Source organism: Homo sapiens, chromosome 8, assembly GCF_000001405.40.
Source record: "Homo sapiens chromosome 8, GRCh38.p14 Primary Assembly".
Classification (NCBI taxonomy): Eukaryota; Metazoa; Chordata; class Mammalia; order Primates; family Hominidae; genus Homo; species Homo sapiens.
In genome coordinates, this window is record NC_000008.11 from 110,829,240 (window position 1) to 110,855,065 (window position 25,826).

Below are 25,826 nucleotides of genomic sequence, written 5' to 3' on the forward strand. Positions count from 1 at the left end.
GAATTTGAACAAACCCAATAGATTTTTAGGAAGTTCTGTCACTGCCATAAATAGTAATTGTATCAATGTTATCAGTTATCATTACTCACTGAGTAATGATATAAATGAGAGGCTCATGTCTATTTAACATTCTTGAAAAATGTAATGCCATTTATCTCACAATCAGGAAATTACAAATGAATAAAAAATCGAATATATGTATACATACAAAATAATGGAAGTCATATTATTACATGAATAATCTGGTTTTGATATTAAAAACATGAGCTTTTATCAGGGATAATGTCAGCTGTTTGGTAGTATAAGAAGCCGCAGACCTCACTGCCCCACAGAAGCACTGACTTAGCAACATATATTTGTCCAAAAAACCTTTAAAAGAACTCCAGAAACCAGTTATGAAGTCATAGTGAAACAGCTCCATTGTCTGAGGAATTATCCGTGGTTCGTTGTCTCACGCTGAGAAAGAATTCAGGACACAGACACAGCCGAGGAGTGGGTTTAGGAGTGGAAAGTTTAACAGACAAAGAAGAAGAAGAGAGAGAGAAAGCTTCCTCATGCTGAGAAAGTGGGCTGACCAAGAGAGGGTTTCTGGGTTAGGGGCGGAACGTGGTTGGTTTTGTACAGAGGCTTAAGGAGGCAATAATAGATTTACATCGGGACCAGGAGATTGTTTTGACCAGGTGTGCCATTTACATAGCCAAAAAGAGTGGCCCTCCCACCCTAATTTTTATTATGGAAATGCGGCTTCTACCTGATGGTCACCATGAAACCTGCACACGTGGTTTCATCTGGCCGGTGCCCTGATACCTACACACCTGGCCACAAGAAAAAGGGAGCGGGAACCGCCATATTAAATGTACCTGGTTTCCAGGTAGCGCTGCTGGCATTTAAATAGGAAAGCTTCTAGCTCGCATATCTATGCTTTCAGCTTGACTTTTCAGGCTGCTTTCTGTTAGAAAAATGGTTTGAGGGCTGCATTTTATTAAAGGAAAATTCCACTGAGAACTCTTTTACCCTTTCTAGCTGCCTAACTTTAATTCCTTAACAACTCCTGTATTATTCTCCCCTCAGGAGATGTAACCCTAACTGCTTTTAGGGGGTGTTGGATGGCGATTCTTTCTGGCTACTTCCTGCTTAAAAGGGGCATCACGTGAGGGGACAGCAGTTGGGGCTGCTCCTGAGGCTGATCTAAGGGTTCTCAGAAGAATGGCAAGTCCGTGTGCGGCTCTGTTCGCAGCACCATTTGGAGTTTGCTTCTCGGTGAAAAGAGACAAATTTTATAAGAAGGTTTAAAATATAGGGCTAGAATATGAGTATTAAGATTACCACTATTAGTGGGGTTATTATGGACCATAACTATGTTATATACTAGAGTTTGATAGCTATTAGTTACATCAATTGATTGTAATATCACTTTCCCTCCACCAGATGTCACTGTACAATACCAGAAATATTAATATGGCAGTAACATTTTATTTGAGAAAAAACATACATGCCTCCCTTGGCTTGCCATTAGGGAATAATTTTAGATTTAGGCCATTTTTATAACTTGGAATATGATTGGGAGAAATATATTATCAGGTAGTTAAATTTAGTGTTAATCTTGGCAATTCCTTTCATTTAATTATTAAATTCTTTCATGACTTCCATAGACAATCTTACAACATACTTAAACTTTCTGATTTGTCCTATACATCCTTCCATTAAACAACCAGTCATTTAGTTTTAGGACAAGAATTTGCCATATAAGATCCTTCCTTATATAAAATCTCTTTCTTTATAATTTTCTTTTCATAGCTTAGAGTCCACTACATTACCAATCTTTAATAAAAAGTTATAACAAACTTAATGATAGCAAAACCTTCATGCTTACTTCTTGTCTATAACTATTACTCCTGCTATAAGCAAAAAACCTTGATTAAATCTTTCCTGCAATTATTAATCCTGTTATAAAGATGATAATTAGGCCAAATATTGTAGCAAGTAGAGTTTTACAACCAGAATTTCACATTGTGGGTTCCACAGTGTATAGCTCTATTGCAAATAGTAGAGTAAGTATAACAATTACTGCAAGAGTGGTATAATAAAATAATTTACATTTAAAACTTTACTTGCCAAGATATAATATTTCCCTTTGGGGATTTATGATGTTACAAATGCAATCCCATGTATAATTAAAATCTCCCTGCATGTATGCTTTAAAAAGCAGTTCTAATATTTGGCAGTGAATTTTGAGAGGAAAGGTAGAAATGATAAAGAAGTATCTGGTAAGGTGGAACGGGACTGAGTAGGATGAGTAGCGTTCACTCAGTTGCTTATCTTTTATGATTATCAGCTCAAGATCTTCTGTTTCTTCACATCGATATTCAGGACATTCCTCTGGCCTGTCAGGGGTTCCTTCCTCAGCTCTTCAGGCTTTGAGTTGAGTGTGACGCATTCAGAAGTTGATACCTGTAACTTTTACTGCCAGGGGGGTTGAAAGAAGAACAGTGTGGGGCCCTTTCTAGCTTGGGTTTAGAGAAGGAGAGAGAGAGGAGATTTTCACTAATACCAAATGTCCTGGGTTAAGTAAAAGTGGTCCTATTTTATTGGGGTTGGGCTTTTGCTAGTTGTGTTAATTCCTGTTGGAAGTGAGATAGAGAGGCTACATGCTTAACCAATTTAGAGGTTTTCTTCCTGAAAACAATCTCTGAGCACATTGATAAGTTTTATCCTTTCTTAAGTGAAAAGCTTGGCAAAGGATTTTAAGGACTTTCCATTGGCTGGAGGCTAGCAAATGGAGTTTGCCATCCTCTGACTGCAGCTATCCTGAGGGCTGGAAAGAATACCCTTGAGAAGTGGCCTATTTCATGTCTGCAGGGGAATACTGAGGTTTAATTTGTCTTATGGAGCCTTCCTAGATTAGAAGGGCTTCAAGTGTGCTGATGCCTTGAAGCTTCCTTGCTGCTCACTTGTGTGCCTCATTAGCTAACCTATTTCCTTTGGCTGCTTTATTTGTTCACTTTTGATGTTCCATATAATGTATCACTGATATTTCTTGTGGAAGGAAAACTGAGGACAGTAACCTATTTATTTCCTGGTGATATTTTATAGAAGATTCATTAGTGGTAAGAAAATGTCTTTCCTTTTAAATGGCAGCATGAGCATGGAGAACTAAGAAAGAATACTTGGAGTCAGTGTGAATGTTAACTACCTTTCCCGTGCTTAATTTAACTGCTCTGTAAGAGCTATTAGTCCAGCTAATTGAGCACTTGTGCCTGGAGAGAGATGTTATTTAGAGTGACTAGTGCATATCCTGCCTTACGCATCGCTTGCTTTACTGGCTGTTTGTGAGCTAAGGGCTCCCCCTAGAGTACAGTAATTTTGCCACATTATGTTGGGTATAAATAGTTATTTCCTAGGGCTAATTTAGAGGCTTTTCTGACTAGTAGAGCCATGGTGACAATGGCCTGGAGGCATGTGTAAACAGTAGGTTCTCCTAACTGTAACTAAGAGGTTGAGAAAAATGTTGGATTAGAGTTTTTCCTGAGATGCGCCTTATGGTGCTATGGGAAGAGGGGAGGCCTGGATTAGAGAAGTGAAGAGAGAGAGACAGAGACTAGCTGTAGAGCTTAGAAGGAGGTCTACTTTACTTCCTTCAATTTACAGAATCACCCAGGGCTCTTGTGCTGTAATGGCAGTTTGAGCTACTGAAGCCGGGGGTTTGAGCCCTGGGATCCATCCGTCCTGCTGGAATATCTGTGAAACTGGTTCCGAACCTGGTGACCTCTACCTCCGGGGTCAGTTTGATCTCCAGTGGTCTCCACCACAGGCTGGACAGGGTCAAGGTGGCTTCCTCTTGCTGTTTGGGCACTCCTTAAAATGCCCTTGCCTGCCACACTGATAGCAACTAGCCGATGTACCTCAGGGGTCCTGGACTTTGTAATCCTGCAAAGCAGCTGCTAGAGCCTTTGTTCTTCTCCTGAGCTTCCTCTTTTTCTCTTAGGCCTCCTCCTGGTCCCTATTATAAAAGACCAAAGTGGCCACCTTCAGGAGGTTCTCTAAGGTGCTCTCTGGTCCTATAACTTGCTTCTGTAGTTTCTTTGTAATATTGGGAGCTGCCTGTGCCATAAATTTGTCCTTTAGAATGAGCTGTCCCTTGACTGAATCGGGGGATAAGGAGGTGGGCACTATTCATGCCTCTTTCAGTCTTTCCATAAAGGCTGCAGGATTCTCATCAGAATTTTGGTGTATCATACACAGTTTAGAATAATTGAGAGATTTGGCCTTAGTTCTTCGTACGCCCTTTAATATGCATTTTAAAAAGTCCTTTCTTTTCCATTTATCTGCAGAGCCATTGAGGTTCCAATCAAGGTTGTCAAGAGGAACTGCTTCACTCCCTATTGGGAATGGAGTTTCTGCTATTTCTTCACTTTCCCTATCTCCTTTCTTCCCTTTTAGTGTATTATAGGAGACACGTTGCTTATCTCTGAAATTCTCTACTGCCTGCAGAGCTGACTGCTTTTTATTTGTGGTTAAGGTTTGGATTAGGAGCAGCATAACATCCTTCTATCTGAGGTAAAACATCTGAGTTAAATTCTGAAAAGCTATGTACCTATTGGAGTTGTCAGAAAATTGGTCTAAGTCTTTATTTGCCTAAGGGACTGTAATGAGAAGGGAGCTTGAGGTGGCCCCAAATAAGGGGGAATCTCAGATGAATCCCTTGGAAGTTGCTTTTTTAATTCTGGGGGATTATTCTCTGTAGGCCTGCCTGATATGCCTGTTAAAAAGGCTGGGTTGACCTTACAATGCTTGCAAATGTTTAGTAGAAATGCCATGCCTTTGTGCAAAAGAAAATGAGTTGCTTTTCTCTTCAAAGTCCTGAAGTTAAAGGAGTACCAGTGTTTCAGGGTGCACTCCAGTGGGGTGCAAGCTGAAGTTGGTTTGTTACCTATCTACAAAAATAAATGAGAATAAAAGTGTCCTTTTAGTTTCTCTCCTTTCACTGTGACCCAGGGTGGAGTGGAATACAGTGGGAGCATCTGCCTGACTGTTTTCTCTCCTTGGTTCCTGAGTCCTGGCACCATGTTAAATGTCCTGGCCATGGTTCCAAGTGTGGCCCTCCAAGCCATGGAAGTGGATGAACTAAGTAATGGGATTTAACCACGCTTTACCCACACAGCCTTAGTTATCCTCCTGTGAATCCATTTTGATTTCCAAAACTTGTGTGATCTGCCTGGCTCTGAAAAAATGGATCTCTGAAAGACTGTAATAGTCACTTTTGAGCAAGGCTTCTTTAACGGAGGGAATGTGCTAGTTGCCTGCTATTACGGCCCCGTGCTAAAACATTCACCCTTAAGGAAAATGGTTCCGGTTACATTCTAAACTTAAAATCCCCTTACCTAATCAAGTACTATTTTAATTGGGAGACAGAATAGGTGCCTGAAATGAACGTAGAGGCCTAATGGCAATTTCTTCTGTAGATGGGACAGTATTGGAACTAAAATTTGGCTACAAAGGACATTTTACTCCTAACTGTTGAAGGCAGAGCTTTCCTATTCACAAAAGGGGCTTTTCTAGAGGCACAAAAAGAGAGAATTGGGAAGCTGCTGTATTAACAGCAAAGGACCTACAATGTGCCCAATCAAGAGGGTTTCTATTTCCATTAGGTGGTGGTATTGGCTGAGAAATATCATGTGCTCACCAGTACTATGGCATTTTCCCAACAGAACTGTTTACATGAACTGTAAAACTTCCTGCACATTGCATAAACAGAGAGGATAGAAGACATAGCAACTGTGGTTAGAAAAGAAGGAAAATTTTGTGACAGGATAGCTGGAGATCCATTACCAACAACCAGATGGGTTGTTGGAGGCCTTTGAATAATGCCATGTTGTGCTTTGGCCAAAAATCCTCAGTTGCTCTAGTATTTCTCCCACCCGCACATGATGTCAAGGTTCTCTATGAAAGAAAATTTGTTTGAAGAGAGTCTTGAGACTAAAGGACAGATTTGAGGTTCACTCCATACTCACCACTCCAATGTTTCTATCTCCCTTCTGATCCAGATCCCAAAAGAGTCCCCAGATGAAATGGCTTTGTTGTCTGTGGAATTACCTGTGGTTTGTTGTCTCACACCTAGAAATAATTCAGTACACAGACACACATGAGGAGTGGGTTTAGGAGAAGGAAGTTTAATTGACAAAGAAGGAGAAAGAGAGAAATCTTCCTCATGCTGAGAAAGCAAGTTGCCCAAGAGGACATCTCAGGGTTTTGGATGGAACACAATTGATTTTGTACAGAGGCTTGAGAAGGCAGTAATTGATTTACTTAGGGCTCAGGGGATTGGCTTGACCAGGTGTGCCATCTACATAGCCCACAAAAAGACTGGGCCTTCTCACCCTAATCTTTTATTATGCAAATGTGGCTTCTACCCAAAGGTCACCATGACACCTACACACGTGGTTTTACCTGGCTGATGCCATGGTTCCATGACACCCGCACACATGGTGGCAAGAGAAAAGGAGCAGGAACTACCATATTGAATGTACCTGGCTTCTAGGTAGAGCTGCTGGCATTTACATATGAAAGCCGATGGCTTGCATATCTATGCTTGCAGCTTGACTTTTAAGACTGCTTTCTGTTAGAACAGAAATGGTTTGGGGGCTGCTTTTTATTAAAGGAAAATTCCACTAAGAACTCTTTTACCCTTTCTAGCTGCCTAAAAATAATTTCTTAATAACTCTTGTATTAATAGTAACCAGGTAAGCTCAAAGCCAGAAATAGCCTCATTTAAAGGAACAAGAAAATTGTTCCAGTTCAACTGTTTCTCCCTCAAAGCAGAACAGCTCACATTTGAGGAGGATAAGCCCAACTTGTGGCTGCTTCCTCAGAAGGGAAAGGAAAGAGTGGAGTATGCTTCAAATGTTTTAGCTTTGGGGGTTAGATGCCTGAGGAGCTGATTTCTGTCTCATCTATTTCATGGCACTGATGGGAAAAAACACATACTTTGAATGCCTGTGGTTGCTGAGCACAAAAGAGAGCTCACTGGATTTGTTGTAGCACCAGAGAATCTACAATGCCACAGTTAGACAACAGGGGAAGTAAGAAACGACAAAGCCTCAAAAAGAAAAAAAAAAAAGGAAGAAGAGAAAAAACCCTGCAAACCTCTCTAATTCAAAAATTACATTCCAAGCCCAGAGAAGAAGAATCTCCATGAAAAATTGAGAGGTCCCCAGAATTTCCAGCTTGGCTGATTTATGGAAGTGTTTCCCTGTATACAACTGGTTCATGAGGACTGAGACAGGAGGTTGTTTTTTAAAAAGGCAAGAATCATAACAAAAAATAAAAAGACACCCAAAGAAACAGAGAAGCATGACCCAATCAAAGAAAAAAAAAAACATCTCCAAAACTGCTCCTGTCTATGAAATATAAAACAAGGAATTCCAAGTAATTATTCTAAAGGGGCTAAGGGTGATATGATAACACAGATAGAAAACTAAATGAAATTAGGAAAATGGTGCATGAACAAAATAAAAATATTAAGAAAGAGATAGAAACTATAAAAAAGAACCAAATAGAAATTCTGGAGAATATAAACTTTTAAAAAATACCAGAAGGACTCATTAGCAAACTTGATCAAACAGATGAATAAGTCATTAAACTTAAAAGGTCATTTAAAAATATCGAGTCAGAGGAACAACAACAATGAAAATAAAAAACATAAAGAGGTCCAAAGGACTCATGGAACACCAGCATGCTGATAAATGTATCCATTATTGGTATCTCACAAGGAGCAGAGAAAAAAAAATGAAGAAGAAAGCTTATTTTGAAAAATAATAAATTCTGATGTCTGAGAGCCTGTGAAGATGCATGTCCCAGCTCAAGAGAAAAAAGAAAGGTTTGCCTTTTCCCTAAATGTTTATTCTATTAAGGCTCTCAAGGCATTGGATGATGCTCACCCAAATTGGTGAGTGCATATCTTCTTTACCAGTCTACTGATTCACACTAATCTTTTCCAGAAACACTCTCACAGATACACCCAGAAGTAACATCAATCAACTATCTGGGTAACACTTAATTCAGTCAAGGTGACACATAAATTTAACAATCATAATGTGGACTTAAAAGGATCCCAAATTGCCAAAACAATCTTGCAAAAGAAAGCAAAACTGGAGTTCTCACACTAATTAAAAAAGATATTATAAAGCAATAGTAATCAAAAAGGTATGGTACTCACATAAAGACAGGCATAGAGACTAATGGAACAGAATAGAGAACCTAGAAATAAACCCACACTTATGTAGTCAGATGATCTTTGAAAATGATGCCAAGTCATAAAATGGGGAAAGGATAGTCTTTCCAACAAATAGATGCCCACCTGGAAAAGAGTCAAGTTAGACACTTAATTAAAAACATAAAAATTAACTAAAAATGAATTAAAGGCCAAAATGTACTACATAAAACTATAAAATTCCTAGAAGAAAAAATAGAGAAAAACCTTGCTGATATTGGTATTGGCAATAATCTTCTGCATATGACACCAATAGCACAGGCAACAAAAAGAGAAATAGGCAAAAGGGACTACATTAAACTTAAGAACTTCTCCATGGCAAAGAGAGTAAAAAGCAACCTACATAACTGGAGAAAATATTTGCATACCATGCATATGATAAAAGCATAAAATTCAAAATATATAAAGAACTCCTACAAGTAAACAACAACCACCGCAACAACAGCAACAGCAAAAACAACAGCAATAAAAATATTAAAAATGGGAAAAGAACTTGAACAAACATTTGTTCAAGGAAGATATACAAATGGCCAACAAGCATATGAGAATATGGTAATTGTCACTAATAATCAGGGAGATACAAATCAAATCCACAATAAGATATTACCTCACAACTGTTAAGATGGATACTCCTTTTTAAAAGCCAAACTAAACCAAACCAAAAAGAAAATACATATTTGAAAAGATATGGAGAAACTGGAACTCTTATGCACTGTTGCTGGGAATGCAAAATGGGGCAGCCACTATGGAAAACAATATAGAGGTTCCTCAAAAAATTAAATTTATAGCTACAATAACGTTCCAGCAATCCTACATATGGGTATATATCCAAAGGAATTAAAAATGAGATATTGGAGAGATATTGTCATATTTATGTTTTTTACAACATTATTTACAATATTCAATTCACGAGCAAACTAAATGTTTGTTAATGGATGAATGAATAAAGAAAATGTGTCATATAAACATGATGGAATATTATTTAGTCTTAAAAAAAGGAAGAAATTCCATTCATATGCTACAACATGAATGAACTTTGAGGACATTATGCCAAGTAAAATAAGCCAATCACAAAAAAAAATTTGTGTGATGCCATTCATATAAGATTTATAAAACAGTCAAATTCTTAGAAACAGAAAATAGCATTAGGTAGTAGCTAGGGACTAGGGAAGGGGAAAAGTAAAATCTTTCAATGAGTACAGAGTTTCAGTGTTACTACATAAATTAGTTCCAGAAGTCTGTTGTCCAACAACGTACATGTAGTTAACTTTACTATACTATGTACTTAAAAATGGCTAAGATGGTAAGTGTTATATCCATGTCTTCATCACAATGAAAAAATAAAGATGAAGTCTTTAGGGTGGGCTTGTATCCCAATATGCCTGGTGTCCTTGTAAGAAGACAATGTGAAATTAACCCACAGGAAGGAAACCCTGTGAAGATGGAGGGAGTCATACAACTATAAGTCAATGAATAGCAAGGCTTTATGGCCACCACCAGAAGCTAGAAAGAGGCAAGGAAGGAGTCTCAGAAGGACCACAACCCTGCCAACACCTTGATTTTGGAATTCTGACCTCCAGAACTGTGAGAGAAGACATTTCTGTTGTTGTAAGCCCCTCAGTTTGTGGTACTTTGTTATGGAAGCCCCAGGAAATGGAGGCACCCCACTTCAAGGCTGCTTTGTTATCCATGGGGCAGAGAAAATGCAATATTGCTTAGTACTGTTCCTTCTTTTTTTTTTTTCCTTTTTGTTTGTAATCTACCAAGCACATAGCAGTGTTCCTTTCAAATGAAGAGATTACCAAGTGCAAAATAAGCAACTTTTAAGTATCACTATTTACTTATGATGACGACGACTACTAGTAGGAAAGCCTTTAGTCATTGCCGGTGAATATCACAGAATAGTGGGGGAATATTTATATAATTACCCCCTGTAGGGCTTTGGTAAATCAGATGGTAAATTCAAATATTTTCATAGTTATATTAATCTTATGCACAAAAGTGAAAATTACAAACATGTATGAAAAGTCCAAACATGTATGAAAAGTCACGCAGAAATGAATTTGAATTCTAATTTTAGTACTTCTTGGTATTTTTTACGTATGATACCATTAGTTGCTAAACTTTGTTGCCCTCATCCTTAACCAAGACACATTATAGTTATAAGGTGAGTGTGAATATTAAAAAATATCCCTATGCACCTAAATTACCAGGGAGGTAGCGAGCAAGTGTGAGAGAGAGACACAGAGAGAGCAAGAAAGAGAGAAAAGATGGGCTGGACCCCATTCCTAACCAATTGAATCAGAATCTTCATAGTGCTAGGGTATCAGTATTGTTTCAAAATTTCTGTAGGTAATTCTGTCACACACAGAAGGTAGAGAACAACTATTCATAATGTGAGGTTTGTTACATAAAATATTCTTAATGAATTGAAGCTCTGATTATTCATTTCCCTATCTCTTCTTATCAAATGACCCTCAGAATCTCTGCTGTAAGTGTTAAAATGTATGGGCATTTATATGAATCATAATTAAATAGACACTTTTGAGTAGCAGCCTAAATCCTCATAATGTAATTTCTATTTTCCTAATGTGTTGCCTTGTCATATGGTTATGTGAGCAAAAATTAAAAAAATTGAAGAGCGTAATTGTGACATAATTTTTAGTAAACCGCTAGCTAAGAGCCTCTTAAAAGTCTGAAGTCTTGGTGTCTTAATAATTATATTCAGTGTTAGATACAAATGGCTTTATTGAACTATAGGATCTTAGATGGTGTGTAGTCCATGAATCTCATGGAATTTGAAGCTTATGCTTTATAAATATTTGCCACTGGGTAGCATTACCCATATAATTTTGCTTTTTTGCTTGTCAGAATATTGTTTCTCATTTCTTCTCTCTTCTGGTTTTGTTGCCTGACCAAACATAAAGATATAAGAAAACTCATGGCAATTTTGTTTAAAAACATCCAATTTATATGTAAGTATGTTTAAATTGAACCTTTGATTAACTACTTTAATAAATCTGTCACAATCAATAACCTAAGTTGTCCAAAAAATTCAGCTCCATGTACCATTTCCAGTTAATGATATCAGCTGAAATTAGAATGTCTTAAGTATTATCTTTTCATGGAGTCAGCAATAATATCAAATGAAATATGAAGTTACTGTATTGCACATTTTAACATATACCCAATCTTCAATTTTTGATATTTTTATTTAATCTCATTACTCAATCCCTATTAAATAATTAGCAATCATATTTCACTTTCAAAGCATTACATACTCATTTTATGTAGAGACCATAGGACCTTTTTTGGTGATCTAAAAAGGCCGTTGGAGGGCTGCTTGTGGGAAGGTCAGATGTGTGAGATCCAAAGTCTTGAAGATTTAAAGTATTTAAAAAATAAAATGTGGCTATTAAAGGGATTATAAAGTTAGAAATTTTCTTTATTTGTATTGGCTGGTATTGCTTTGAGAGACAAAGGATATATCAATTTCAGATTCTCTATTCAGATTTTGAAGTGTTATTGAATCTAAAAGATTCCCCTAGAAACTTCTGTTTTCTAGAACCTCACAAATATTTTATTGTATCACATACGTGTATATATGTATATACTTAAAATACTTATGCATATGTGCTCAAATGTAGTTATATGTTTACATACTTATCACATTCTTTGAAAGTTGCATAAGGTACCTTTTTGCTAATCATAAATACAGTTTTTGTTACTTTTAGCAGAAATTTACTTTTTTTATACCTATTATCAACTAATAGATTATATTTTTAAATATTGATTTTATTACATCATCCTTAATTTACAGAGCAATAATTCATAAGCATTTTCTTAACCACTATTAGAAAAAGTACATTCTATGATGAACTATTCTTAAGGAGGTATGGTGTTAGATTTAAAATAAATTTTAGAAAAATATCTCTAGGTTTTAAGGCTATTTCAGTTTGTTTTGAAACAATGCATTTCTTCACTTTAGCTGAATATCAAGAAGCACTTTAAAAATACGGGCTTTTGTGAATAACAGTTTGATCACTAGAATTTGTCAACATGATAGTAATGAGATTTTGTGAACATTATATAAGTCATCATTATTAAATTTTCAAGTGAGTGTTACTTCCTGAAATTTTACCAGAGACAAGTCAATGAAGATATTCAGAAAATGCAAAAGCAAGGATAAATAATTTTTTAAAGCCAGATTATCTTATATTCAAAAATAATAAAATGCTGAAAGCTGTAATTTCAATTTATTAGGAGTTGCTGGAATTACAATTGTGAGCCACCACACTCAGCTATGGATAATATTTTTAAAGCCTAATTTGGACATAACACATATTAGGAGGGTAGAGTTTAATAAATTAATCATAAACTTTCAGGTTTTTACACTAAAATATTTGTAGAAGTCACTTTTAAGAAGTTACCCAGCAATGATCAGGAGAGATAACCAATTTTGTCCTAAAGTTCAAAGGAATAAAGAATTAAAAATAAATCTATAGCAGTCATATACTAAGAGTATTCTAGTAGAAAGTAGAATAAAGGATTGTGCTCTGTTTGTGAAGCAAGATTAGACACAGTGAAATAAACAGCCAAAGAGTGCATCACTATGAATTGATACTGTGAAATCAGTGGGGTAGAGGAGACTACAAAAAATGTATCCTTGGACAATTTTCACAAGATGTAAGGATGGTGAGTGATTTTTCACAGTACTTGGGATAACAGCTTGGGCCATTTTCCTTGTATTCCATTGATACCTTTATACAGTTCCTTTGCAAGAGTATACCCCATTTAGCATTTTAGGTATTACCAATATTGTAGGTAAGCGAAACCAATTTCTTAGTGACAACTTTGGTTGCTGTTACTCTTTGACACATTCTTGAATATACTGAATTAAGTTTTTTAAGTGTATTTTATAACTGATTTAATATAAAGACACAATCTATCCTGGCATTTTAATTGTAATTTTAAAAGAAATTAAAACATTTCTGAGCCTCTAATTTGTGACTTGTCCAAATTAGGTTTTAAAAATAATACCCTTAGCTGAGTGTGGTGGCTCACACTTGTAACTCCAGCAACCAGACGGGCTGAAAGGGGAGGATGATTTGAGGTCAGAAGTTTAAGACTAGGCTGGGAAACATAGTGAGACTACGTTTCTAAAAAAATTTTTCTTAAATAAATAAAAACATTACCCTGACAGCAGTGCTGAGGATAAAAATGGGAGAAGGAATTCAAAACTAGGAGCAATTAGTGTAGAATCTGACAGCCATGTTGAGATCAAATAAGGTAGATACATTTCAAGCTAGCAACAAACAAATATAAAAAAACGGAATATAGAAGCCTGTTTCAAAGATGTTTGAATCAAAATATTGAACATTTTGGGATATTACTTCATTATTAAATTACTACATCTCAGATGCCAACATAAAATAATTTTTTCTTGGTTACTTACTATTTTTTTCACCTTTTAATTTCATTAATTTAATGACCTATTTTCTTCTTTAGATTTCTCAGCAATAATTATCTGCTGCCAGTGTTATACATATGGTTCCCCAAACCATTAAAATAGATGAATTTCCTTATCTCTAAGAATCAATTCTAAATTAATGTTCAAACAAGTAGAAAAGAATACCTTAAATATTTATTTATTCTGTCATGTCAGAAGAATATATGTCAGGTAGACTCTAAGGTAGACACTGAGGAGCAACCAATAAACATAACGTGTGCAGATCTTGGCTGATAATGCTACATGTTCGTACAACAAGAGCCAATAATAAATCACATTATTTGATGTGCAAGAGTAAAGTAAAACATATAAAAACTTGAAATAAAATAGGCTGTTCTATTTTACTAAACAAGGCTGTATTTATAACATTTGATATTTAGGTCTTTTTGTATTTATTTAGAGATGATGTCTCACTGTCATCCAGGTTGGAATGCAGTAGTTTGATAACAGCTCAGTGCAGCCTCGAACTTCTGAGTGCAAGTGGTCCAATCACCTCAGTCTCCTGAGTAGTGGGGGCTACAGGTATGTGCCACCATGCCTCACTAATTTTTTAAGCTTTCTGTATATACAAGGTCTTCCCATGTTGTCCATCATGGTCTCAAGAGATTTTCCTGCCTCAGCCTCCAGAGTAGCTGGGATTACAGTACTGAGTCACCATGTCAACTCCAATATTTGACATTTGAAAGAGTAATTTTTCAAACATATACCAGAAGAGACATAAAAAATTAGAACTTTCTTTCTTCTTCTAAGATGCAGTTTTGAATGTGTAAAGACTCATAGACCAGAGGAATTCCAGTATCTTAGCTATTCTGTTATGTAAATTACATTATTAAAAATTATTGTATTTCTGAAAAAGTTTAATGTTAGTTGTGGAATAATAGTACTCTATTAATGTCGCTATGGAATAATTTTAGATGTCTTAACAAGATATCAACTAGAACATTTTATGACTGACAATCTTAGAAATAGCACAATTTTTATTTTTTAATATATAAACCAATATTTATAACTACTTGTGTAGTTAATATTATATCACAATGTAATGCTTCATCTTTCCAAAATAATGTTCTCTCATATGTATGTGAGCTCTGTATTTACAGTAAGCAGTGTCATTAAGTAACTTAAAATTTAAAAAACTGAAATATAAATTTATTACCTTCCTTTTATTATACAATATATGTTTTAATTTAAATAAATGGAAACACACCACAGAACAAGAGTTGAAGACCCTTGTCTCAAAATTTTGATTGTGTAACATGAAGAATACATTATGAATTTACCAAACAAATAATTTTGTCTGATTATGTAGCAATGATAGATGAGAGATAAAGAGGTCAAGATAGATTTTTACAGTTTGCTTAGAGTGAATAAAAAGATAAATAGAAGGAAGAAAAGAGAGAGAAATAAAAGAAACACAGCTGAAATTCTGAACTTGCTTCATTGGCTTGTCAAATATATTTATGTCTGATAATCTTGGTCCAGATAAGCAGCTTCATTGTGTTAGGGATAGTATTATGTACTTCAGCAATATCTGATAGTTTCAAAGACCTATTACCAAATGATGAACGTTGGAGCATACATTTAGATTTAATTTGTTAATTTCACATTTTATAACAAAAATTTACGTGAAATAAAATACAAACTCTTATACAAATGTACATACATTTACCTTTATACAAACATAAACATATATGCCTAAAAATCTTCAGATAGTTCTACTCCAAGTGGTTGTAAAAAGGCCATAAAAATTTAATTAAAAGTGACCTATGTATAAGGCATATTGAATAATATATTTTGTGATATAAAGTGAGGTTGAAATAAGCAAAGAGGCAATATTGAAGGAATTTGATCTCAATAATAATTATTGAATTTAATTTTATTGATGAAATTTTTTCTGTTTCTCTTCATTCTGATGTGATATTTTCAGATTATGCTTGGGTATTATGTTTTATAATTGTAAAACTTAAGAAAATAATATATTAATATAAAAATAAATATATCAATGTGTATTTCTACATGTTAAATGCAAATCTTAAGATATCTGTAATAGAGCTAAATAGAATACTTAAAAATACTATAAGCTAAATCTATTAGAAGGAATTACAATTATCATAAGTCACAAAATAAGTAAAACAATAACAAAAAATAGTATATTTAAATTTTAAAATGTAGTAATATCTTGTAATTTTTCTGAACTTCATAACCAAAGAAATTGACCATAATTCTAATATTATATATGACTATTTTATTGTCTATTATTGAAGTGTTCACATTTCTGAGCAGCTACTACGATGTTTTAATATAGTTTCTTTGGGGAGTGATTTGATCATTAGTCTTAAGTAAGTGGTCAAAAAATATATATATTCAAATTATTAGTATCTTTTTAATAATATCACTGAAATTATGTTTGAGTAATCGCAAATTATTATATTGTTTATTCATGGCTCACCTGGCCATTTATTAAGTAATTAATTTTACATTAATCCATAGACTCAATAGGTATTTATTGTGCCTCTCCCATTCTAAAACATAGTGTGGGCCGGGCGCAGTGGCCCACACCTGTAATCCTGCACTTTGGGAGGCTGAGGCGGGCGGATCACAAGGTCAGGAGTTCCAGACAAGTCTGGCCAACATAATGAAACCCTGTCTCTACTAAAAATACAAAAGATTAGCCGGGCGTGGTAGTGGGTGCCCGTAATCCCAACTACTTGGGAGGCTGAGGCAGAAGAATTGCTTGAACCTGGGAGGCAGAGGTTGCAGTGAGCTGAGATCATGCCATTGCACTCCGGCCCAGGAGACAGTGTGAGACTCCATCTCAAAAAAATAAATAAATAAAAATAAAAATAAAATATAGTGTGCTATAAAAGGTAAATTTGAGACAACATTAATGAACATAAAAAGTGATATATCATTTTTATGATACTGATACTAAATATGATAGAAACAAAGAAAATTATTTACTAGAATGAATTAGGTAATTTAGAAAAAGCTATCTCTTGATAAGAATGTTAATACAAACAAATTTCCAAACATAGAAATTTTTATTGTTTTTTCAGTTAGAAGTGAAAAACTTTCTTTTTAGATTAACATATTATTAGAGAGAGTGAGATAGAGTTTGGGTAAGTAAATGTTACCATATTTGGAAAGTGTTAGTATTAAGCCAAGTAATTTGGAATAAATGTGGTAGGCAAGGCAGAAACTGCATTATGAAAATGCATTAGAAATATTATCTGGCAGTTCAAAAATTAAAATTGTGAAAAGATGCTGTCTTCAAATGTATCAATCTGGAAGTTGAACCAAAACCACGTTTGAACTAACAGTGAAAAACTTACTTTAGAAAAAGTAGAAATAAATTCTAAGAGGCTGTGCAGAGTTTTTTAGCTTGATGTAATCCTATTTGTCATTTTTTGCTTTGCTTGCTTGTACTTTTGAGGTCTTATTCTAGAAATATTTGCCCAGACCAGTGTCCAGTAGTGTTTTCTGAATGTCTTATTCTAGCAATTAAAAGTAGCAGGTCTTAAATTTAGGTATTTAATCCATTTTTATTTTTTTTCATATGGTGGGAGACAGGGGTTTCCAGCTAGAAAGCTTCTTCAGAGTAAAGGAAACAATCGAAAAAATGAAGAAACAACCTACAGGATGAGAGAAGATATATTTGCAAACTATTCATTCAACAAGGGATTCATAACTTGAGTATATAAGAAGCTCAAACAACTCAATAATGAAACAAATAATCCAATTAAAAATGGGCAAAATAATTGAACAGATATTTCTCAAAACAAGACGTACAAAGGGACGACTAGTATATAAAAAAAGCTCAACGTCACTAATCATCTTGGAAATGAAAATCAAAACTACAATGCAATATCATGTCAACCTGGTTAAATTGGCTATCATCAAAAACACAGAAAATAACAAATGCTGGCAAGAATGCAGTGAAAGAACGCTTGTACACTGTTAGTGGGAATATAAATTAGTACAGCGACCACGGAAAACAGTATGGAGGTTCATCAGGAAACTAAAAATAGAACTACCATATCATCCAGCAATTCTACTGCTGGGTATATATCCAAAATAAAGAAAATCAGTATATCAAGGACATAGCTGCACTCCCAAGTTTATTGAAGCACTATTCACAAAATCCAAGATATGGAGTCAACCTGTGTCCATCAATGGATGACTGGATAAAAAAAAATAGTATATACACATACAATGGAATACTATTCAGCCTTAAAAAAAGAAACGAATCCTGTAATTTGAAGCAATATTAATGAAACTAGAGGACATTATATTAAGTGACATAATCAGAGCATAGAAAGACAAAAATCACGTGTTTTCATTCATATGTGGGAGCTAAAATATTTGATCTCATGAAGGCAGTGTGTAGAATGGTGGTTACCAGAGCTGGAAATAGCAGTGGGGAGGGGTGGATGAAGGACTTGGTTGATGGGTACAAAAATACTATTAGATAGAAGAAATAAGTTATAGTGTTTGATAGAACAATAGGGTGACCACAGTCAACGATAATTTATTGTGTAATTCAAAATAGCTAGAGAAGAAGATTTAGCATGCTCCTAATACAAAGGAATGATAAATGTTTGAGATAATGAATATCACGATTACCCAGATTTAATTATTGCACATTGTATGTTTGTATCAAAATAACACATGTACCCATAAATATGTACAACTATTATGTGTATAAAAATTAAAAATAGAAAAATTATAAGGAGAAAAATTGGTGACGATTTAAAATAAACAAATTCAAACATAGTAATACATTGAATGTAGGCAATCAAAGATAGAATATTATCAAATATAGCACCACAACCCCTATAGCAAATATTTTATGAATATTTACTGTGAATTTTCATTAATTAGTACAACCTCCAACAGTATTACTACTATGCTCTGTATTTAAGTTTTAGTTGCCAATTAATGTCTCTGTAGGAAACTGGACAATCTATGTATTATTCATCATTTTGATAATAAATTTTATATACAATATTTGAGGAAAGTGAGGAAATGGAAACTGATATTCATTTTTTCTACTACGTGCCATGGAGTTGGTTAAGTGTTTTAAATGAATATCAATTAAAACCATATGAAGTAAGTGTATTCATCTACTTTAAGGAAGGAGAAAAGCTTGGTTTAAAGGGAATGTTAATAAAATATATTTTACTCCAAATTCAGTTGTGCTTTCTTGTCACTGTACACTCAAAGTGTCTGCATCTACTGCTCTATATCAGTCATCGATGATTCATGCAAGAGGAATGGATATGTCACTATCGGGAGCAGAAATGACTCAGAAAGAAATAAATGAGAGGACAAAGATCAAAGTTATTGAGAGAAAAAATAAAAATCTCCCTAGGAGATTGTTTGCTGTCACTAGTAGAAAAAGACCCAACTACATTATTCTTTAACCCTGAATCCACCTGTATTTTCAGCTACAATATGAAAGCCTGTAATCTGCAACTTTGTTTTGTGCTATACAGCTGAGAAATATGCTGCTGAAAAGTAACAACCTTCTTTTTTCTATAAAAGGTCACTTTTAGTAATGGACATTAGCATAATCTTCTAAAAACACTAAGGGGAATGGTTATATAACTTGAAGATTGCAGCAAAGAGGTATATAAAATATGCAACATAAATAGGGAAACAATTTCAGCCTCAAGTCACCCAGTGTATCTTTACTTTAACAACTCAGAAGATAGCTGGAGGTTTTTTAAAAAGAAACTAAAAATGATGTTTAATCGGTGTGGCTGGAAGCTACATGGGAATTATCTGTGCTTGTCAAAGACACAATACTCTTCAGTGTTTCAACTGTATAGGCCCATTCTGAATAGGTGATTCAATCTTGCTTTATAATTTAAGATATTGTGCATAGGTTTTATGAAAAAAAAATGTATTGGAACATTAAGGAAGTGTGATCTTCATACCCCTAACGAGAAATGAATCAAGTGTTATTGCTATCAATCACCTTGCTTACTGAGATAGTGGCCATGACATATCACCCTGGAAAAAGGGTGCTGTGCAAGATTGTCTATCAGTGAGCTTCATTCCATCTGCCTCTAGTCTTTACTTTTCAGCTATCTGAAAGTAAGAGAAAATTCTCCAGCAAAGGCCTAAAAAATTCAGTGGCGGTAATGTCTAATTTTCCCTTAAAAAAATCACTTTCTGTAGAATGTATAAGAAGATTGCTTGTAATATTGTTTGATTTCTGTCCTTTGATATCACGAAACTTTCTCACATTGCCACATGAAATAAATTAATTTATAACATAGGAAAGTAATTCCTCTGGTAGCAGGCTATTGTTTTTCAAAAACTTGATATTTAAGTCAAAGTGGTAATTCATATATGTGTATAATAGAAAGTACACTTATTTAACTGTATTTGGAACTATGACCAGATAGAGCCCTAGGAATTAATTAATTGTTTCTTAAAAATTTGATTGACTTAATAATATGATTTGAAGTAAATGAATTCTTTAAGTATAATGAAAGAAATTAAAGGACACAAATAGTTGGGGTTATAATTAGTCTCAGTGAAAACAGGACATTTCAAGTGTAAGAACAAAGTGATAATAAATAAAATGATTAAATATGATAAGAAAATAATTTTAAAATTCCACATAATATAAATATAAACAAAATTGAAAGTCAGAATGTTAAAATTCACACATAGTGTACTTTGAAACATCAGTAATTAAAAAAATAGTCCAGATATTAAAGGTCTTAAGTAGGCAATTTTCAAAAGTTGACATAAGTATATAATCAGTAATTATCCATTCATCCACTTCTGCCAGTCCAGTTATTAAGCCACTTGCTCAGCAAACGTCTACTGAGTCTCTAGTATGTTTCAGGAAATAAGCACAGAAACACATTTATCCTCATTTGTAATGACTGAAATAAAAATTTTAAGTAAAATAATGAAGCATATTATAATACACTATTGTAAAATGAAAATGCAATGAAACCTGAATAAGCTGAAACATGAAACCAGGTTTCATTTAAGAGGGAACACATGGACATTTTCACAAAAAATTTCATGGAAATCTACATTGCTGCAACATTTCTTCAGAAAAGGGAAATCACCACATTGTGTTTCATCTTAAAGAACCAAGTGTTCAGCTTAATTTATAGAAGATGTACAATAGATTTCCATAGCCCAACTTTACTCTGTCATGTTGTCACTTTTCTACGTTGCTTCTTGGATAGTGTTTTAATATGACGATAAAATGTTCTTGGGCAAAAAGCAATTCAGATACCATTGATTTTTACCAATCAAGTTAAGTCATTATTTCTCATGGGATGCATCAGGTCATTTGGAACATTCTGCTTGATGGCTCCATCTCAGTCTGGAATCTCAGGCATTTGAAAGGTAATTCTAAGTTAGTCAAATAATATTTCTCTTGTTAAATAAATTATTACCTTGGCTGCCTAACAGGAAAAAAAAATCCCCCCTTAATGTCCAATTACCCCCTTAAAACAAACACATGAATAAACCTATTTTGTAAGTGAATAGGTTGAAACATTATTATTTGTTCAGCTTAGGCAAGATCTGAATACATTTCCATTTATATAAATCCTGAAGCAGAAATTTTAATGATGGTAGTTAAATTCCTATTTATACCTCTATTGTCAGGACAAATGATTGTGTTTTACATGTGATCCTGCATTTAATTAACAGCCATTTTCTTAATTATGTGTATTTGCATATGAGAGTATTTGCTCAGATGCATCTGAACATGAAATATGTTGTTTTTGAAATTTTGAAAAGCAGCTTACAAAACAACTTAAGTTTATTAATTTTCCCTAGCACAATTAATACTTATTAAAAGTAAGTAGTGATCAAAATAAGTTATAAAGTCAAATTTTTTTCTATTTGTTTGTTCCAAGAAACAAACTTGAGATTCATTAAGCAAGAAAAAAAAATCATTAGAAGTTTACCAGGCTAAATATAAGAGAGTATTCTGACCACCAAAAATATGGAAATGAGGAACCTGGTCTTGACTGCAGAAAGCCACTCTTTCAGGCTCTTCTGCAGTCTGGTGCCAAAATTTCATTCTCCATGTCTTTCTCAGTAGTCTGAACTTTTTTTTTTTTTTTTTTTTTTTTTGAGACAGAGTCTTGCTCTGTCACCCAGGCTGGAGTGCAGTGGCGCAATCTTGGCTCACTGCAACCTCCGCCTCCTGGGTTCAAGCGATTCTACTGCCTCAGCCCCCTGAGTAGCTGAGATTACAGGCGTGCGCCACCACTCCTGGCTAATTTTTTTGTATTTTTAGTACAGACGGGGTTTCACCATGTTGGTCAGGCTGGTCTCGAACTCCTGACCTTGTGATCCGCCCGCCTTTGCCTCCCAGAGTGCTGGGATTACAGGCGTGAGCCACCACACCAGGCCAGTAGTCTGAACTTTTCACATGGTGAAAAACTACCTGCCACGTTTAAATAATCATGCTTTAAAAGTATACTCAGAAGAAACTAGAATCTCTCCCAATTTCAAATCACTAGAACATGAACCAGTATTCCTGTTTTCAACAGGTATCCCCTCCTGTTATCATAAGCCATAGCCAGACAGTGGGACAGATCAAGGAGTACAAACATGGTTGTTTTCACCCAGTCTTGAGAGAGGGCAGTCCTCAGAGCAGGAGTGATTATTTCAGCAGATCATCCACTGCCAAGTGTTTTGTTTGGTATCTACTGTATGATTACAGTCAGAGAAAATTGGAAGTATGTGTAACAAATGTTAACATTGCTTTATGAATCGTTTGTTTTTCCTCTCTGACTCCCACTTTCCTTTTATAATGATTTGAAAGTACTAAGTATGGGGACGATAAAAAGCTGAAGATTTATTTATTTTTAAATACAGGTCATTTTGGTTGAATTTTAGTTTTGCTTTCATTATGTCATCTATATGATCAAATCGTGCCATTAATTCTGAATGAGAGTAGAGCCGAGAGGACTAAAGGGAGGCTGGAGGAAAATGGCAAAGAAAATCTGTAAGCCAGTTTGACATTGCCTATTGAATGGCTTCAACTTGGCTGATATGTACGTCTCAGGTTCTAAATTTGTTTTTATTATTATTATTATTATTTCAATTGATTTTTGGAGAAACAGGTGGTGTTTTGTTACACGGATAAGTTTTTTAGTGGGGATTTCGGAGATTTTGGTGCACTCATCAGTCGAACAATGTACACGGTACACAATACGTAGTCTGTTATCTCTCACACTGCTCTCACCCTTCCCTCAAAGACCCCAAAGTCTGTTGTATTGTTTCTATGCCTTTGCATCCTGATAGTTTAGCTTCCACTTATAAGGTTCTAAATTTTAATCCTGTTTTGGGCATGAATGCTGCATATTTAAAATGCCCAAGAAATAGCTATATTTCCTTCTAACTAAAGGTCCTTAAAATTAACCGGGAAGACCATTGGCTAAGTGAATAATTATTCATGCTTTGGAAAGTTTTTCTTCTCATCATTATGAGACTTTTTATGCTCAATCATTAAATTGTAAAAATTTGGAGACTTTTTATGCTCAATCATTAAATTGTAGCATAACAATATTTGTGGAGAGCAGAGGTCAGTAATTCTTTCACTGTAGGTTTTTGTTGTTGTTGTTCTCATTTTTCTCCCTTCCACATGCATTCTTATCATGCTGGTGTTTTTTTCCTTTAATCCCCATTAGGAAGAAAGAAGCTTAATACCACAATAAACAGTGAAAAACAAGGGCTAAAAAACATGTATCTTCTCAAACTTTATTTTTGAGACACAGAAAGTATTTTAGTTACTTCTTAATCAGTTTCACATTGATGTAGTCAACTGCTGACAGTGAGAACCAATCTGTTTGAGGCTAGTGTTGACATATTTATAAATATATCTGCCTAAACTAGAAAGAGATAGATGCTCCCACACAATTTCTACCTTTCTACCTTATTCGTGTATGTTTTTTAAAGTGAGCAAATATATTTGCTTTTCTGTTTACTTTTGAGATTGTAAAACTACTTTTTTCTATGCTATGTGAATAGATGACCTATTTATATATAGTCATAGGTAAATAGTGTTTGCCTCTATGTGTTCCTCCCATCCACTGGCTATGGAGACCTATTTCTCCATTTACTAATATATTCACTGTGAAGGTCTGGTGTTTTATCCTAATAATCTACAGGTCTGATGTTCAGATTGTTTTAAAATAAAATCAAGGGTCTACTGCTACATGACACTTTTGTAGAAGGCTTAATAATGTAAGCACTATGCAGCATTTATGTTTGATCTACATATCATACTCATATGGGCAGGCTTGTGTGAAAAAAATCTCAAACAGCTTAGTGCAACCTACAAATTCAGCTCTTTTTCTGGCCTCTTTCATTTTCCCCTTTTCGTGTTTCCTTCCACTGGTCCTCATGCTCCACTTATTTTTTGTCTTTCTTCCTGGTCTGTGTTTAAATAAAAATGTAGTAACTATTTTTGAATCCAAATTGCTAGTCCGATAATTTGACCATGTGAAAAATATATTGATCTTCCTTTGGATTATTAGTCTACAAGATTAACCTTTAGAATTTTTCACTGATTTAAGAATATTACTAATATGCTTAAAGCTTGTATATCAGAAAAAAATGAGACCCTGGAAGACTAGCTAAATGAAGCAAAGATTAACAAATGAATGATTTCGATTTTAGTCTGTTGTGCATTTTTAGTACTCTGAAAAACTTTACTTTCTTGTAATTTTATAATAAAATCACAACGTTCTCACAGTAATTAAATTTCAATAGTTTATAATTCTGAAACCAAAATGAATATCCATAGAGTAAACAACATATGGGTTAATTTTGATTATTGATACATTAAATGCATGATAAGAGTAATTTTGTTATTTGGCTAACATTATAGGTTTTATTATCTCTCATAAATACTGAAAGCTTAAAAATGTAAAGGAAGTAACAGCAAATAGTTCAAATGAAAAAAAATTATAGCAAAGCCCCTGTTTTAGTTGCATAGCAACTTACAAAAGTAACAAAAAGAGAAAGTAAATTTTTTGAAATCACAAGTTTTTAAAGCAAGACAGGAGACATGCAAAAGAAAAATGTCATCTTTTCAGATACATTAAAATGTCAAGATAACACAATTTGAGAAAATAGAATACTTACATAAACCTGTAATACATATTCGATAGACAATAAGTCCAATAGTCATATTTTATTCATTTGAATATGAAATAAAAATGTAGAATTTCAGTTTATAGTAGGAAATGTAAATGTTTCTAAATGCTATAATATACCAAGTATAACTAATAAAATAGATACAATGATAATAAAGAGAAAATTCAATAATGCCAGATATAATGTTACTTTTACTTTGTTCTATTTTATTATTTTTATTGTTCTCTCCCTGCCCCCCAGATCTAAAGGTATGGTATTCACTATATGAGGAAAAATTATGACTTAGTATCAATAAAACCTTTATGAAATATCAAAGATGACTTTTTTAAATATTTGCAATGATGGCCAATAAGCATAAATATATGTTGCAAGTTTTCAACAAATCTAACTCAAGGACCTGTTTAGAAAGGTATATTTCTTTATAGAAATTTGAAAGAAAAAGTTTTATTTTTTAAAACATGGCACACTAATGTTATAGATCTTCTGAAAAATAAGCATTGACTCTTCTAGTATGTGGAAGACATTATCATATGAGAATAACTGCTGTTTTAATGATTTATGTTGCAGACATAAAAATAAAATGTTAGTTTTATTAGAGATCACTGAGGTAGGCAAGATTAAATTTACAAATTTAAATTTGAGTTGTTTTCTTAACAAGTTATAAAACAGAATAATAAACTCAATCAATTACATCAAAGACTCAGAAGAAAACATTGAAGTTAAAATGACAACAAATATAAATTACTTTGGAATAGATTAGAAAAGAAAATCACAGCACAATTCAGTAGAAATTGTTAGAAATGATGTTAGAAATCATCTAAACACAGTACAGAAATAAGACATAAAATATACAGAAATCAGACATAAAATATACAGAAATCAGACATAAAATAT

The 25,826-nt window shown here is 34.1% G+C and overlaps 2 annotated features.

Annotated features, from left to right (window-relative positions):
* Positions 3,007–3,508: an enhancer, noted in NCBI's record as "NANOG hESC enhancer chr8:111844475-111844976 (GRCh37/hg19 assembly coordinates)". NCBI's record gives its function as "activates a minimal SCP1, AML or CMV promoter by ChIP-STARR-seq in naive H9 embryonic stem cells {active_cell/tissue: H9 hESC(naive)}" and the evidence as "EXISTENCE:reporter gene assay evidence [ECO:0000049][PMID:30033119]".
* Positions 18,901–19,195: an enhancer, noted in NCBI's record as "tiled region #9965; HepG2 Activating DNase matched - State 3:PromF". NCBI's record gives its function as "activates a minimal TATA promoter and a strong SV40 promoter by Sharpr-MPRA in HepG2 cells {active_cell/tissue: HepG2}" and the evidence as "EXISTENCE:reporter gene assay evidence [ECO:0000049][PMID:27701403]".